The sequence below is a fragment of the Homo sapiens genome, chromosome 5, assembly GCF_000001405.40.
Source record: "Homo sapiens chromosome 5, GRCh38.p14 Primary Assembly".
NCBI classification, from domain to species: domain Eukaryota; kingdom Metazoa; phylum Chordata; class Mammalia; order Primates; family Hominidae; genus Homo; species Homo sapiens.
Window position 1 is genome coordinate 135443055 of NC_000005.10, and position 15970 is coordinate 135459024.

Here is a 15970-nt window from a genome sequence, read left to right on the forward strand (position 1 = left end):
GCTGGACATTCCCCACTGTGACTCCAGTAACACCCCCTCTCAGTTGCGCTCCAGCCTGGAGCCAGCAGTGGGAACAATCTCTGTTAATCTCTGAATTACATTCCCTATTTGGCTTCTCAGTGATTCCCTACCCAATTCCCTGAATTACATTTTTTGCATACTTAGACTGGCTTTTGTATTTCTGACTGGATCCTGAATGATAGGCCTCCCACTGAACAAGGTGACTTAATAGGGTCCATGTTCAGCCCATCTGTAGCAAGCCCTCTGAGCAAATGACATCATGACAGCCCCTGATCCCTCAGAGAAGCAATTATGGAAACCTCGTGTCTGGCTGCCTGGCTGTGCTCTCGCTCCAAAGGCCTATGCCTCTGCCTTATTCTGAAAACTCCCACCTCTATCCCCTGCCTCCACATCTTTAAAGGAAAGCAAGGCAAACATCGCAGCCAGGCCCCCTTCCAGCAGTTAGAGTGCTTGGCTCAGAGCCTGGGCCCTCCTGCCGGCCTTACTTGGGACCTGCTGCATGTGAACTGTGTTGTCAGGTAACACACAGGGAGGGTCAGAGAAACGGGAGAGGGGGAAAGAGAGCCTAGAGCCTCCTCCACAGCCCCAGTCTCCACAGGTTTTCTCCTCATTCCTGGACTGATTTGATTTGGATTCAAATCTGCCTGTACTCGGACTCCTTCCTGGCCAAATGCCTGGAGCTGGGCCCTTTGCTGCCAGCACCCCTTAAAGAAGTGGGCATGGTTGGGGAATGGAGGGCATTTCCTCTGGAAAGAAAAGGCAGAGGAACCAGTAATGGCCCAGGAGTGCTGATATCCTTACTGGGGTGCACATTTTTGTGAAATGAGACCCCTTGCCAAATAGAACTCTAAAGTTCCTTCAATTCACATGCCTAGAGAAGAAAATAATCAAACTCTTCTGTCAGGGATCACCTGGCTCCCCACATCCCCTCACTTAGGATGTTTTATTCCCACTGGAGCATGTGATTGGAAAACAAAGGTAAATAGGAGCAATTGATTCCCGGATCCTTTTTTTTCCCCAGCAGGATTAAAGCTGCCTCAGCCATAAAGAGTTTACAAACTCTAAAGAAAGATAATAACTTCCCTTCTCACGGCCCGGTCATGGGGAGGCAATGCATGTTTCCAATCAGCTGAGAATGTAACTCAAATGGTAGGTTTTATTTCACTTTAATCCGCCTGTGAGTTCACGTTAAAGGTAAGAGGAATCACAGCCCTGCAATTCAAATAGGGTTCATTAAATTCGGCATCTCCTCTTAACTGGGCTGGGTTGTTTACTCCTCCCACAGTCTTGGATGGGTTTTGAGGGTCTGGTGCGGTGTCCGGTGAACGGCTGCAATGCAGGTTAGGCTGCCACCATGAGGGAAGCTGGAGGGAGGACCTGTTAACCTCATGGTACTGTGGCGACATCAGCCACCACTACGTGTCACGGGGTGGATGCTGAGGAAGAGAAAACAGAGCAGAGCTGGAGAAGTTCGTACAGTAGATACAGTGGAAGACAGGTGGCTCAGCTGGCAGCCCACTGCAGGGGTGGTGGAGGTCGCAATGCGCTGTCCCCACCACATGGAGCTTGCTTGCCTCCGCACCTCTTTGCTGGCTGCAGCCTTGCTGCTCAGTGGGCGGTTGTGGAAAGAATCGGTTCTCAGTTCCCATTCCAGCTCTGCTATTTAGACACCGGGAGACCTGGAAACAGCCCCTTGACAAAGTCTTGCTCTACACGTTTCTGTAGTGACCGTCCATTTGAAGGGATAGGGAAATATTCCCTCAGTGTCCTGCTGTGAAACTGTTAAAGCCACCCATCCTATGAAACTCACTCCTTTGGGTTAAGCATCACGTTCTCAGTCCTTTCCTGTGTGGATGGAGTGTTGGCACAGTGAGGCGGGTGTTGCAAGTGGACGCGTCGGGGGTGGTCTGCACGGGCTGGCCTGCATAGCCCAGGGGTGGAGAGAGGGGTCAGACTAGAACCTATGGAGACTTGGTGGGCAACAGGCCTGGGCTCAGTCCAGCCAGCCCAACCTCTGATTGCTATCCTCAGAGCCCCTCCAGGGTCTCCTTGGCAGGGGCTGTCCCCTATGAGCCTCTGCAGGGGACAGGAAGTGCTGACTGAGAACTGTCTCTCTGTGACATGCACCCTGTCAAATCCATAAACCTTCCTCAGCAGTCACCACACAGAATCCCAAAACCCCAGGGTTCTGCTTGAGTTAGAGCTACAAAGTCTCAAGGACTAGAAGGAAGCACCAGCCTTGTTCTGCCCCAGCTAGAGGGTCTGCGCTGCCCCAGCCAGAGGGTCTGTGCTGTCCCTGCTGAGGCCTACAGGAGGCAGAGACATTCACCTCCACTTCCTGTCTGCCCATGGCTTCGCGGCCTTCTCACCCCAGCTGGCCAACTGGCTTCCCACCACTATGGGCCTCGCACTGCCCATGCCGGGCCTGAGGGGCCTGGCTCAGACTTTAGTATCCAAGGGGACTGCTGCCTTGACCACCAGAGCCCCCCCGTCTGTGCATCTGTCCTCTGTTCAGCTCTGGAAAGGCCACCGGGAACACAAGAGCCAACAACCCATGGCCTTTGTCTGCAAGGAACTTGAGGTCTCACCGGGCAGACAGGCACGGAGTGAGTGCTCCACCATGGGCCTCCCTTCCTCCAGGTTGCATCCAGGACTATGCTGTCTAGCGTGTCTGCTGTGACTTCCTCATGGCAGAGCCCCACACTGTGGCTGTTTATGGAGCATTTGCAAGTCTCCCTCGAGGGGAGCCCGTGTCTCTCACGGACAGCTTGGCAAGATTCACATTCTTGGAAAAGCAGAGGAATGCGAGGGTTAAAATACCTTAAAGGGCAAGGAGATGATTTCTAGATTTCCAGACAATGTCTCAGAGAATTGTAGTGCTCTGGGGTATGCCTGAATGTAACTAATGTAGCTCCTTTTGTGCCTGAGTGTAGACTGGGTCCATGTGCCTACATGCATTCAGTTCCTCCCACCAAACTGGACAGTGATAGCTAACCCTGTTGACCCTTATGTCTGGGTGCCTTAAATTTGTGATGCCTCAAACTGACCTTCACAATGACTCTAAGGAGGTAAGTACTGTGAACTTTCCCGTTTTCTACAAGAAGAAACTGTGGCACGGAGAGATTCAGTTACTTGTCCAGGATCACAGAACTATAGTAAGTGGGGGTGGGGACAAGAATTCTAACCCAGGCAGCAGTCTGACCAGAGGGCCCTAGCTGGGAGCAGCGTTCATGTGCACTGTATGTTCGTGTTTAGTGTATGTCTGTGCATACTTGCGTGTGTGCACACGCACACATGTTCACTCAGGCACGTGGGCTGCCCTGCGGTGGGAGCTGAGAGAATGCAGTGGAGGTTGTTGGGAGGAACTCACCCGCCTGCTCTGGCTGTCTGAGCAGGTGAGGGATAGTGATATCAAGTGCGAAGACCAGGCCCTGAAGCCAGCCTGACGGTTCCAGCTGTTAGGAGAAAGTGAAGGTGGGTGCCATGGATCTGATGATTTCAGTGATTTTCTACTCAAGAAAAATGAAGTCTCGGATGGGCAGAGCTTAACTGCCTTAAAAACTTGGTACAGGGCAAGGTGTGAGTTTCCCGGTGAGACTGTGTGAACTGTGAACGGGTAGAGTCTGAAACTACAAACCAGATGTTTCCGGGCTCCCTCCCGCCTGGTCTGGCCTGTCTTCCTTCTGCTGCTATGCAGTTCATCCTGGGTCCCTGAGGGCCTCGCAGATGCTTCACTCGAAAGATTGGAGTTGCAGAGTCCCCTGTGGAGGAATTGAACTGCCCCCTCTCGCAGGACCCCAGCTGGCAAGGTTTTGTTCCTCCCTGGAGGGTAGAGACCCTCACTGAGGCCCTGGAGAGGGGCACTCAGGGGCAGCAGCTCATTCCCAAAGTTCTCTGGTGGAGCTGGGGAGTGGCACCCTGGGAACTCTGGGGTTTCCCCACCAGCTCCTCTCTCCAGTCTTTGGTGTCCAGGTACAGTCTCCAGGCCGTGGCTTCTCGAGTTCTGTATGTGGGTTGCTGCTCCGTAATGCATAGTTGGGGGACCATTTTGGTCAGTGACAGATCACTGCTGCTTTTCATCAGACCAAAATACATGTGGCTTCTTCTCCTTGCCAGCCCTACCAGGGCATCTCCCATTATACTAACCCTGCCTATTGGACCTTCTGATGCAAGGAGCAGATTAAAATCCCCTCCCTGTTGCCTACCAGGTCCGTGGCTACAACTAAATCCCTAGTTGGGGAATCACAGAGCACAGGTAAGCCCTTGGGTTCTGGAGCCAGCTTACTGGGGTGTGAGTCTTCCTTAGCTCCGTGTGGATGGTGAGCCCTCCTCTCTCAGGTCTCATGATAGTAGCTAACCCTTATTAAGTGTGTGCTGGGCACTGATTGAATGCTTTACAGGTGTCACCTTCTAAGACCCTCGTAACTCTAGCAGGTAGTACTATTATCTTACCCATTTTCCAGCGGGAGAAATAGAGGCAAGAGCAGACTAAATCACTTGCCCAAATCGCATAGCTACTGATGGTGTGATGTTGGGCAAGATATGTAACCTTTCCAAGTCTCAGTTTCCTTATCTGTTAAGTGCAGTTAATACACACAGCACCTAGCAGAGTGCTAAGCACATGGTAGGCACTCAACAGGCAAGGCCACTTAACAAGAGAATGTGAGCCCAGCTGGAGGAGAGAGAAAAATACAATGACTATAGCACTAATCATAGTAGTGATCAAATAAGTAATGCACTCCTGAATGCTTGACTTTCCTGAGTGCAAGGTAAACTCCCTGAGGGAGTTTGCCTTATTCACTTCTGGTTCAGTTCCGTGGCTTTGCACAGATCTGGCACAAGGTGGGTGCTTGGTGAAGGTTTGCTGAATGAATGAGGAACTGCTTTGGGGGTCCCAAGGGGTCATTCACAGCATCAGAGAGCCCCTTCCTAGCAGCCCTGCTCTCCCTGCCTTGTGGCTGTGATCTGAGTGTTTTTGCTTCATCCCTATTGGAGAGGAAGCTTCCCACACCAGGGCAAGCCTGGGTCTTGCCCACCTCTGTTTTCCTGATGGAGAAGATGCTCAGGGCCTGTGAGTGAAGTTGGACCTCCTTGTAGCTTGCCCTGGGTGCAAAACGATCATCCTTTTGGGCAGAAAACAGAAATTGTTGACAGCTACAGACCCAGAGATTCGAGTCAGCCAGGGGAACAGGGCTGTGCCCTTGGTGCCTCAGATTCCCTGGAGAGTGGGGTCTGGGATCATGGTGACCATGTAGATCCCTCCCTGCATCACACTAGTGAACGTTGTTTCTAAACCACACTCTCCCCTTCTCAGCATGGCGTGGCAAATAGCTGCTGCCCTTGTTCACCGAGAAAATCCTCCTGCCCTTGGCGTACCTGGCTCCTAACGAGTCCCTTATTTGGAAGGAATTCCCCCACCCCCATTGGTGTGTGACTCACCCTGAGCGAAATAACTGCTGGGCTGAGTTCTTACACAAACCCCCACCCCATCCCCTCATTCCCTAAAGACCTTGCCCTCAAGTCAACCAAGGCCTTGATCCAGAAGTGACAGAGAATGCGGAGTGTGAGGATGAGGATGATAAGGGGGACAATGAATTTCCAGGCAGGCCCAGCTCCCAGCTCCCATCCTCAGGAAACCCTGAGCCCTGCCTGCATCCTTTCCAGAAATGTGAGTCCCACCTTTCCAATTTCCTCTTACACCTCGTCTATATTTCCCACCCCCACGTCTGCATGACAGCGTGGCGTGCATGTGGCCCATCTGGGGATCAGGGAATCCTATTGGGTATGCCAGCTTAATGAAATACTTGCAGTTTATTACACTCAGGCTTTCCTAAGCCCCGCGTGCCTGTGGGTATTTGAAAGCTGAAGGTAACCCCAAGCTACCACAAATGTAATTGTTACATGTGTCCACGCATTCCTGGTGCAACCTCAAACTCCTGCTCTTAAGCAGCACACAAAATGAACCACATAAAGTAACTCCTAGTCAGACAACAGGGAGAAATGTGTGGAAATGCTGAGAGAGGCTCCCCAGAACCCCTCAGGGCCTCTAAAAGTATATGATGTTCCCATTACATTGCATAGCTCTGGCCACAGAGGGTGCTTCTCCCCCCTGGGCTGTTTGTTCGGTGTTTGCAGAATTGGTTCATTATGAGCAAGGCAGCCAGTGGGTTTTGCTTGTCAACCTTGCATGATGCAGCTCAAGTATTTCAAATCCTGTTTCATCTAGCAAAGGCTTGCTCTAGTGGCAGGGCTAGCAGAGTGCACTGTCTGGGGGTTCCCTCTGGAGCTGTATTTCTGTTCCTCCTCCAGGTCTTGGCTGGAGAGGGCTGTCCCAAGTCTGGGAAGGGCCGTGGAGAAACCCCAGGCAACCTGGATCTGCTACCCTGAACCAGGGGGAGGCTGCCCCTGGGAGATGCCTTCCCATTCGTCAGTTTCCTCAGCCTCAGGTCTGTAAATCAGGGGTGAAGGGCTGACATGGAAATAGCAGACAAAAGCCTCCAGGGATGTGCCTTCTTCTACGCGAACCAGCATCTGGATGCCTGAGAAGGAGACCCTGTTGACGGTGCTCAGGGGGACCTGCTCCAGGTACCTCAGCGTCAGCCCATTGACCCACACACAGCCCTTGCGGCTCAGGGCCTTGAGGCAGAAGGCCAGCAGGGCACTGCCTTTCTCCAGGTAGGGCTCCAGGGACAGGTGACGGCGGGAGAGGCGAGGGAGCTGCAGCTGGAGGTGGGCGTCCTGCCCCCGTCCGAGAAGCAGAGGGCTGGTATCATGCTGCAGCCGTGGTGGGACATTGGCAAAGGCAGATGGGCCCAGCGTGGGATGGTACAGGCTCACTCGCAGGACGGTGAGGGGCTTCTCCATGGAAGAAGTCCTGGGAAGTTGGAACATGGACACACAGGCTCAGCTTCAGTCAGAGACCTCTGTGGCTCCCTGAGCCCAGACACACTTGCCCACCTCAGGGGCCCTGTGCCTGTTCATACAATCACTCTGCCCAAGCCAGGATGGAGCCAAGGCTGGAATTGGTGTGGAAGGTCATGAGCTTAGTCTCTCTCATACTCTGAATAGAACATGCCACCCACTCTGTCTGACTTTTGGATTTCTGTAGTATAGATATATCTGTCCTTGTCTATGCAAGGGATAAGGCATGCTGGCTTGCAGGGTGGGGATTTGGTAATCTTTTGGTTATTTGGAGACAACTTGGCCCTGCTTCTTGGAAAGGAAAGGGTAGACAGACTGGCTACATTTTCCTTGTATCTGACAGTCACACAACAAACCCTTGCTGAATCCTCCTTTGAGCCAAGCAGGGAACCAGCTGCTGGGGAGAAGCAGATTCAACAACGAACCGAGCCCTGACTCTTGGGAGCACCCACTGGTGGAGGAGAGAGGTGTTTCTAGCATCAGGATGTGTGGAAGGACACAGAAGGAGGATGCTTAGCCTAGTCCTGGCCACCAGAAAGGCTGCCTAGAAACCCTGGTGAAGAGTAAACAGCTAGCACATTCCGAGTGGTTACTATGGGCACTTGCTGGAAGGCCACTCACAATGGCCAGCTTTGTTCCTGCATGGGTTTGAGGAACACAAACTCTGCTATGTCCACCAGCACCCTGTGGCCCAGGACCTGCCATCATCTTCAACAGGAACCAAGGGTTGAGTGGATTTGAATAACTAATTATACATTCTCTGGGTACCAGGCTTTTGCTCACATTATTTCTCTCCTAAGAATGCATCTTCCATCCCAAACTCTGTGTCCAAATACTGCCCACGGTTCAAGGCCCTGTTCAAGTGTTACCTCTCCTGTGAAGCTCCCTTCCCTGGGGAAGGTGACCTTTCGCTGCCTTCTGACTCCCACAACAGGGGGAATCCCCCAGGACACCTGGCCAACCTTACTCTCCATTCATTCCATCTTTGCATTTCATGCCCAAGTTCTGTGGGCCCTTGTCCTGTCTTCCCTGAGTTCCTCTCTTCCTGCCCCTGAGGCCTCCCAAGGGCTGGGTATGGTCTGGGCTGTGGTTCTTGCTGCCCCATGTTCCACTGCCCCATACAAATAGGGCCTGGCCACCATAAATGTCCAGGGGCACATTTGCCGAGTGGCTAAATGAGAAGCCCACACACACACATGGTGAAATCACCCAGAGAGACCACAAATGGGATCATGTCTCAAAGGCTGTGGGACAGCGAGCCTGTTGCAGGTGGCTTGAACTCAATGTCCCTCCAGGTCTTGAACCTGCTGCCCCTCCTGCCTTTTAGATGCAGTAGGTTAATGGCTGAGACCTTTTAGTCTGATAGTGAGGGCACCCTTTCACTATCAGAGGCCTGAGGGCACCCCCTTTCCCCTAAGGCACAGACACACATATGCCTCTACCCACACCCCATCTGGCCATAGTCTGCCGAAAGCCTTTCTTTTTTTTCTTTTTTTTTTTTTTCTGAGATGGAGTCTCACACTGTCACCCAGGCTGGAGTATAGCGGCATGATCTTGGCTCATGGTAGCCTCCGTCTTCCAGGTTCAAGGGATTCTCCTGCCTCAGCCTCCCCAGTAGCTGGGATTACAGGTGCCCGCCACCATGCCCAGCTAATTTTTGTATTTTCAGTAGAGACGGGGTTTCGCCATGTTGGCCAGGCTGGTCTCGAACTCCTGACTTTAGGTGATCCGCCCGCCCCGACCTTCCAAAGTGCTGGGATTACAGGCGTAAGCCACCACGCCCAGCCAGAAAGCCTTTTCTCGAGGTATGCGTTACAGGCTGAGCCCAGGACAGGTGGGCTGGGCAACCCATGCTGTCAGGCCTGGCTGGAAACTCAAGAGTTCACTCCCAGAAACTAATATCACGGCACAGAGACCCTGAAAGAATCCCTCAGGAAGAAAGATTCACAGTTGCTGTGTGGCCTTACTCTCTGCTCCAACCAGAGCTAACAGAAATCTCCCACTAAAGAGGAGCCCATCCACGACAGGCTGTCCCGTGTCTTTTGGATCCCAGGTGTTCTGGGGAAACAGAAACCCAGCCCTACAAATCCAGCCTTTGGGACGGGGCAGGAGGAAGACACTCCAGAATGTGTGTCTCAGGGGAGCCCTCCTCCCAGCCCCACCAGGCCCTCCCTTCTCCCCATGGGTTCAAGCCCCTCTGGCTTCAACTTACCTTATTGCCGGGGCACATCTGGCTCTAGTCCTGCAGCTGTGAGCTCTTGAGAGGGAGTAGGCTGGTTTGGGTAGGGCTGGGAGGGCTCCTATGGCTGCAGTTCAGGAACGTGGCAGAACATACTTCAGTTTTGTTGCATTCTTCCTTTTTCCCTTTAGGAAAGAAAATAGAAGTGTAATTTTTCATTGCAGAAGTGCAATTCCACTGCTGAGAGTTTGAGAAACCCCAGCGTGGGGCCCCTTCTGAGACAGATGGCCTGCCTTCCTGGGTTTCAGTTCTGCCAGCCTCTCCTACCCCACCCCCAGGGACCTTAGGACCTGCACCCAGGGTATCTGCAAAGTTCCTCTCCACCTGCCAGTAGGATGGGGTCAAAGCAGCCCAGGCATGTTAGAAAAGAAGAGCTTTTTGGGACAGATGGCTACGGGACAGGAGAGTCCCCTGAGTGTGGGAGAATGAGGAGAGCGTTCTGGCTGGATAGAGGTTGGCCAAGGAAACTGTAGGCAACATGGCACTTCCCTGAGGGTCTCAGGAGAGGGCAGGGCCTGGGGACGGGGAGGATGGAGAGGGCAGTAAATGGCCACTCATAGAACATGATCTCTCCTGCAGAACAGTGAGAAGGTGGTCTCTCATGCCCACTCCCCATCGCCCGAGCTCTGCCTATTTGCATGCAGTTTGGAAGGGGTGAAGATGGTCGCTTGTCCAGCACTGCGGGCTCTGGCTGCCCTGGAATGTGAAGGTGCTAACCCTTCACGTAGCCCAGCATTTCATAGTCCACCAGTGTGTTCAAGTCACCTGCGTTATCTCCTAGGAGTTTTATAGTTCTATACGTACATTTTAATTTTTCTGACATGTGTAAGGTTTGTGTCTAGATTTTTTTTTTTTTTGGCTTATAGGTGTTCAGTTGTCTCAGCACCATTTTCCGAAATGACCATGTTTTTTTTCCTTCAGTGTTTTCTCTTTACTCCTTTGTCAAAGATTGGTTGACTGTATTCATGTGGGTTTATTTCTGGGCTCTCTACTTTGTATCATTGATCTATTTGTCTATTTTTTCACCAATACCTTACTGTCTTGATTGCTGCAGCTCTGTAGTAAGTCTTGAAGTTGGGTACTGCCAGTCCTTCAATTCTGTTCTTCTCTTTCAATTTTGTCTTGGCTCTTTTGAGTTGTCTGTCTATATAAATGTTAGAATCAGTTTGTTAATAGCCACAAAATAACTCGCTGGGATTTTGACGAGACTTCATCAAATCTATCAATAAAGGAGGGAAGAACTGACATCCTGACAGTATTGAATCTTCCTATTCATGGACATGGGATATCTCTCTATTTGTTCAGTTCTTTGATTTCCTTCATCATAGTTTCATGGGTTTCCTCATATAGATCTTGTATATGTTTTGTTAGATTTATACAGAAATATTTCTTTTTTGAATATTAATGGAAATGGCATTGTGTTTTTTATTTCAAATTCCACTTGTTCATTGCTGGCATATAGGAAAGTAATTGATTTTATGTATTAATCTTGTATCCTGCAATCGTCCGTTAATCACTTACTAGTTCCAGGAGCTTTTTTGTCAATTCCTTTGGATTTTCTACATGGACAATTACGTCATCTGCAAATAAAGACAGTTTTTTTCTTCCTTCCCAATATGTATACCTTTTTTTCCTTTTTAATCTTACTTCATTGGTTAAAACTTTTTGGTTAAACGATGTTGAAAAAGAATAGTGAGAGGAAATGTCCTTGTCTTGCTCCTGATCTTAGTGGGAAAATTTCTGGTTTCTTATCAGTAAGTATGATGTTAACTGCAGGATTTTTGCAAATGTTCTTTTTCAAATTGAGGATGTTTTCATTTATTCCTGGTTTGTTGAAGATATTTTGCTCTAAAGTAACCGCCAACCTAGAATTCCATGCCCAGATAAAGAATCCTTCAAAAATAAAGATGACATAAAGTCATTTTCACACAAAAACTGAAGAATTTGCCAACAGTACACCTACTCTAAAGTAAATTCTAGTGTTCTTCAGGCAGAAGAAAAGTAATCCCAAATGAAAGCATAGAAATGTAGAAGAAAATGAAGAGCAATGGAAATGGATATATTCATATAAATCAAAGTGAATATTAACCATATGAAAAACAATAATAATGACATTTTATTTTTGAAACTTATTTTAGTTTCAGGGGTACATGTGAAGGTTTGTTACATATGTAAACTTATGTCATGGGGGTTTGTTTTACAGATTATTTCATCACCCAGGTATTAAGCCCCGTACCCAATAGTAATCTTTTCTGCTCCTCTCCCTCCTCCCACCCCCCACCCTCAAGTAGACCCCAGTGTCTGTCGTTTCCTTCTTTGTGTTCATGAGTTCTCATCATTTAGCTCCCACTTATAAGTGAGAACATGTAGTGTTTGGTTTTCTGTTCCTGTGTTAGTTTGCTAGTAGGATGATGACATTTTAAAATGTATTTAGAATATATGTATAATTAAAGTATATGACAACAATAACATCAAAAGTGGGAGGGGTAAAAATGTAATTATAGTGTCCCAAGGTCCTTGCATTGTCCAGGATGCAATAAAACTACAATTTAAGGTAGACACTAATAAGTCAAAGGTGCATGATATAATCTCTAGGATAATCAGTAAAAGAATAATAATGTCTTAGTGACAAGCTAATAGATGGGAAGTGGAGTAATACATTAGCAATGACAATGAAGGCTGAGAAGCCTTGGAAAGGCACAGTGGAACAGGGAGGACATCCAAGTAGGGAGGATGAGGACAGCCCCAGACCAGGCCTGCACCTGGGTTGGGTAAAATTGAAGGGGAGAAGAAGGGCTCCAGCACTGGCTCTTCCTGGGCAGATACTGACCCATTCCAGTAGCTCACCTCCTGCCTTCTTCTAGGCTGAGGCACTTGGGACCCTTCAGCATGGTGGCCTTGGAGGCTGTTTCCTCTAAGGGTCTCTAAGTCTGCTCTTCTCCGGGCGGTGGGCTGCTACTCTGGAGGCCTCACTGGTTACTCTTGGGCCTTTTCTGACCACCCTGAGATCCTCAGGGCCAGATGCTCAAATAACTGACCTGGAAGCTCAGCGAAGGGAAGTGACCAGCCAAGGTTACACAGCAAATCTGTAGCACAGCTGGGTGAGGACTTAGGTGAGCTGACTTCCAGTCCCCTGGCCTAGCCACAATACACCTCCATGGTCCAGATAGCTTGATAGCTGTGCCACATACTCCCTCTGGGTCATACTTGGGGCCAGTCATATGGGTCTGGAAACAAATGTGGCTCCTGGTCCCTCGATAGCAAGCTAAGCAGAGAGGTGGGGGATCTGGGGGGAGGGCAGTGAGGGGCAGGGCTAGCCCCCAGAACCACAAGATCTTTGGTGGCAGACCAAGCAAGACAGGTGACTGAAGCTCAGTGAAGGCCCCATCATGGTCTTTACATCTCTCCAATTGCCTTTTCTTGTATTCTTCCCCCATCTCCTGTACCTTGGCTCTTCCTGGTACTGGGGAAGGGTAGGGAGCAAAGCTCAGATCACTGAGAAAATCCTCTCCTGACAATTCTTGGGGACTTGCTATGACTCCTTCTCTAGAAACCTATGGAAGGCAGTAGTAACCTAAAGGAGTAGTTCTAAGAGCATGCCAGACCTGCTGCTTGCTCTGTGCAGGAGAGAAGCCAAGTGCAGGCAAGGTAGCTAGAATGATCAAAAACCCGAATGGCCACTCCAAGGTGGGAGAGAAGCCATGTGTAGGCTAGGCAGCTAAACTTGATCCCAGGCCTCTTGCCGGCACCACACCCCTACTCAGGGCAGTGATAGACAGATGAATGACCGAAAACCCAAATGGCTACATCAAGGCACTTCAAGGGCTGCAAAGGCACATAGATGGGGCTGAGCCTACTGTGCGAAGGTGGCTGGCCATGCTCCAGGGCCTTTCCTCTCATCAGTCTCCCTGGTCCAAAGACCACCTGGCCTGCTGAGCATCCCTAAACCCTGGGCAAGGGCCTCATCTTCAGGGCTCCAGTCTGGGCAAGACCTCAGTGATCCCCAGTTATTTCTGCCCACCAGCAGAGTAAGGTAGTGGGCAGAAGCCTGGTAGGGAGCTTTGTCATCTCTAGATATGTGACCTCAGGCAAGTCCTATCTCTTCCCTGGGCCTATTTTCCTCCCACTGCCTTCTGTTGTAATCGTGAGTCATGAGGGGAGGGCTATGTCCGTGCTCACAGCCCTGGCGTGGGAGGGTGACTGGCGAGAGGACATGTGTTCATGGTGCCTGTGTCCTTCATAACTTGGGTCACAGCAGTTTCCAACAAGAAAGAGAACTGAAACAACCAGGGAATTCCCTGGCAAGGAGAAGTCCTGCCCAGTCTGCATCTTTCAGAAGCCAGGAGGAATGCCCCAGGTTTGTGGGTAGGAGTATGCATACACAGTGCTGGTTGTTGGCTTTCCGGAGGCAGATGGGAGCTGGAAGTCTCACGAAGGGAGAGTAAGAGCCCGAAGGGTAAGAGCTGGGGAAGTGCCGGTTTCACTCAGCCTGGCTCCCTTGGCTAGGACAGCCTCTGGTTGGGTGTTGGGCATCTGGTGTTGGGATCCTGGGACATATTACATCAGTCAGCAAATGTCCCCCATCATGTGCTCAGGGAGGGCTCAGGGACAGAACAATTGCCTCCCCAGGCAACCCCTGAAACTCCCACCTCCAGGGCTTTCTCCAACATTAGACCAGTGAGGCTTCTGCAGCCAGACGGACTCAGGTCTGAGGCTTGGCTCCTACGTGCAACAACTCAAGCAAGTTATGCAGCCTTTCTGCACCTCAGTTTTCTGCTCTGTAAAATGGGGACAAATTGCTGTTGTTGTGAGGACTCAATGAGATATGTGGAAAGTGCCAAGCACGCGGTGAGAATTGATAAGTGAGAACTGCTCTTAGTAGAACCCTTGATGGTAGAGCAAAAATGCACCCTGGGGATACGGGCTGTCAGAGGAGACTTAACAACTGCGCACACAAAACCTAAGTTTTCAGACAGCTCCAGTTTTTGCTTAAAATAAGCATGGCTTTAGAGTTGAATTCCTAATGTGCATGAGTTTCCTATAAATTCCATTTTATATTATAATAAAGTAAAAGGAAGTCTCCAAGTAATTGCTGGGACCTGTATCCTTGACGTCCAGGAAGGCTCTCCATCTCACAAATGAGGAAGCTGGGGCTCAGAGCAGGTAGTTGATTTGCTCAAGGTCATCCTTCTGGGAAGTTTCGGAGACAGGATTTGAACACAGTCTCTGAGACTCTTGGGTTTAACCATGAAGCTTTCAGGCCTCAAAGGTAGGGTGTCTCTGGAGTCCAGCTGCCTGGCCTTCTCAAAATGTGTGCTCCAGCCCGCTGGCCACCAGTGACACTCAGCGGAGAGTACCTGGTTCCAGCCCTAGCAAGCTAACGTGGCTGGCCGCTGAGTCCCGATAGCCTGTGGCCACCAGGTGGCAGCATCCCTAAACCCACTGATCCTCTCTTGGGGCCCAAGAGGGAGGATAGTTTGAAAGGTTGGGGAAGCCATGGCAGGAGGCTGCGCTGGAGGAGGGAGAGGGGTCCTCCTTTCTCTGAGTCAAAATGCCCTGAATGGACCCCAGGTGAATCCACACCCAATGCCCCTCCCACTCATAATGAGCATGGAGCTAAGAGTAGGAGTCAGAGCAGAAGCAGGGGAAGCAGCCACTCAGCAGTGTGGATTGTTTGTAACAGTATAAATCTCAGGGAAGTGTTAATGAGAGGATCGATGAATCTTCTATGCCATGAGCTCCCTGCCAGGCTTGGATTCTGCCATTTCCTGCCCATGAACTGGATTCTGTGCCACTCGCTCACTGAGCTTTCCCAAGTATTCCTGGTGTCACAAATTTTGGGGGCAAGGGTTATGTGATTATTATGTTTCTTTTTCCCCCACCATGGGCTTCTACGTAAAGCTGTGGCCAGACCATCACCACCAAACACTGTTTCTAATGAGTTTGGGTCACAGACTCAAAGCCCACAGCAAAGTTCTGCGTTCCCAATATGGTAGGTGCACAAAACCCAGAGGGTCCACAGCATTTCTGGACTTTTGTATTGACTCCTCATTTAAAACTCTTTCCAGAAAGCCGATTCATTACAATGCTGGCTAATACCCACAGGAACACTGAACTCCACTGTGTGGGAGCTTGAGGGGCCTGTGCTGCCCATGCCGAGTGTCCACCATCTCACACTGCTTCTAACACCTTCAAGCCATCTCCTGAATCTGGAATAGTCATCATGAGCTGGAGGCTTCCTCAGAAGAACCCTAAAATCAAGGGGGATTCTGGTGCCAAGAAAAATAGCCCAACCCAGCTTCACAGCTGTGAGCCTCCAATGCGCCCCAGGAAGCTGCCATCACCATGGGTAGCGCGACCTGGCTTGATTTTGCCAAAACAAAGGAAAATTCCTCCAGCAATTTCTGTGAATTTGTTTTGCAAAACTGAATTGTCTGCTTTTAATTCCCCTATACCAATTAAATAAAAATTGGAATTTAAAATCCAGTGAATGACAGAAACCTCACTTTGGAGTGGATGACAGACCCCACGCAACCTGGGGTCTGGGGTAGAGAAGTGAGATGCTGGGAACTTCCAGGGAGTGGCGGCTTTGGTGGCAGGCTCCCTAGGTTTTGGGGCTCCTGGACCATCCTTATGTGTACATGTGCTCTGAACCCATGGGACTAATAGCTGACCACGAACAGAACAGCAGCGAGGCAGGAGCTTGATGCTTGCCAGATTTCAGCTTCAAGACTCTGCCCCACATGCCTCTAAAGCCAAATTCCTGTGTGTTTATTTGTGTTTCCCATG

At 50.2% G+C, this 15970-nt stretch overlaps 2 protein-coding genes and 1 long non-coding RNA gene across 4 annotated transcripts, besides 4 other annotated features; 1 reads left to right on the forward strand and 2 right to left on the reverse strand.

Moving 5' to 3' along the window:
- Nucleotides 1–1159: 1159 nt before the first annotated feature.
- Nucleotides 1160–4294, reverse strand: DCANP1 (dendritic cell associated nuclear protein 1). The gene has a single exon (NM_130848.3). The coding sequence runs from the start codon at nt 4052–4054 to the stop codon at nt 3320–3322; it is 735 nt and encodes a 244-aa protein (NP_570900.1). The 5' UTR covers nt 4055–4294; the 3' UTR covers nt 1160–3319.
- Nucleotides 1172–9297, reverse strand: TIFAB (TIFA inhibitor). Its single transcript, NM_001099221.2, has 2 exons — nt 9155–9297; nt 1172–6895 (listed from the first exon to the last, which is right to left on the reverse strand). The coding sequence occupies exon 2, from the start codon at nt 6883–6885 to the stop codon at nt 6400–6402; it is 486 nt and encodes a 161-aa protein (NP_001092691.1). The 5' UTR covers nt 6886–6895; nt 9155–9297; the 3' UTR covers nt 1172–6399.
- Nucleotides 6163–6664: an enhancer, noted in NCBI's record as "H3K4me1 hESC enhancer chr5:134784907-134785408 (GRCh37/hg19 assembly coordinates)". NCBI's record gives its function as "activates a minimal SCP1, AML or CMV promoter by ChIP-STARR-seq in primed H9 embryonic stem cells {active_cell/tissue: H9 hESC(primed)}" and the evidence as "EXISTENCE:reporter gene assay evidence [ECO:0000049][PMID:30033119]".
- Nucleotides 6665–7164: an enhancer, noted in NCBI's record as "H3K4me1 hESC enhancer chr5:134785409-134785908 (GRCh37/hg19 assembly coordinates)". NCBI's record gives its function as "activates a minimal SCP1, AML or CMV promoter by ChIP-STARR-seq in naive and primed H9 embryonic stem cells {active_cell/tissue: H9 hESC(naive and primed)}" and the evidence as "EXISTENCE:reporter gene assay evidence [ECO:0000049][PMID:30033119]".
- LOC124901073 (uncharacterized) lies at nt 7446–15667 on the forward strand. Of its 2 annotated transcripts, none has more exons than XR_007058945.1 (2): nt 7446–7668; nt 15250–15667. It is a non-coding gene; the product is annotated as an uncharacterized LOC124901073 (long non-coding RNA). The 2 variants fall into 2 exon arrangements; XR_007058946.1 differs by lacking the exon at nt 7446–7668 and adding an exon at nt 13402–13637.
- Nucleotides 13360–13409: an enhancer, noted in NCBI's record as "active region_23173". NCBI's record gives its function as "activates an Ori minimal core promoter by ATAC-STARR-seq in GM12878 lymphoblastoid cells {active_cell/tissue: GM12878}" and the evidence as "EXISTENCE:reporter gene assay evidence [ECO:0000049][PMID:35858748]".
- Nucleotides 13570–13669: an enhancer, noted in NCBI's record as "active region_23174". NCBI's record gives its function as "activates an Ori minimal core promoter by ATAC-STARR-seq in GM12878 lymphoblastoid cells {active_cell/tissue: GM12878}" and the evidence as "EXISTENCE:reporter gene assay evidence [ECO:0000049][PMID:35858748]".
- Nucleotides 15668–15970: the final 303 nt, after the last annotated feature.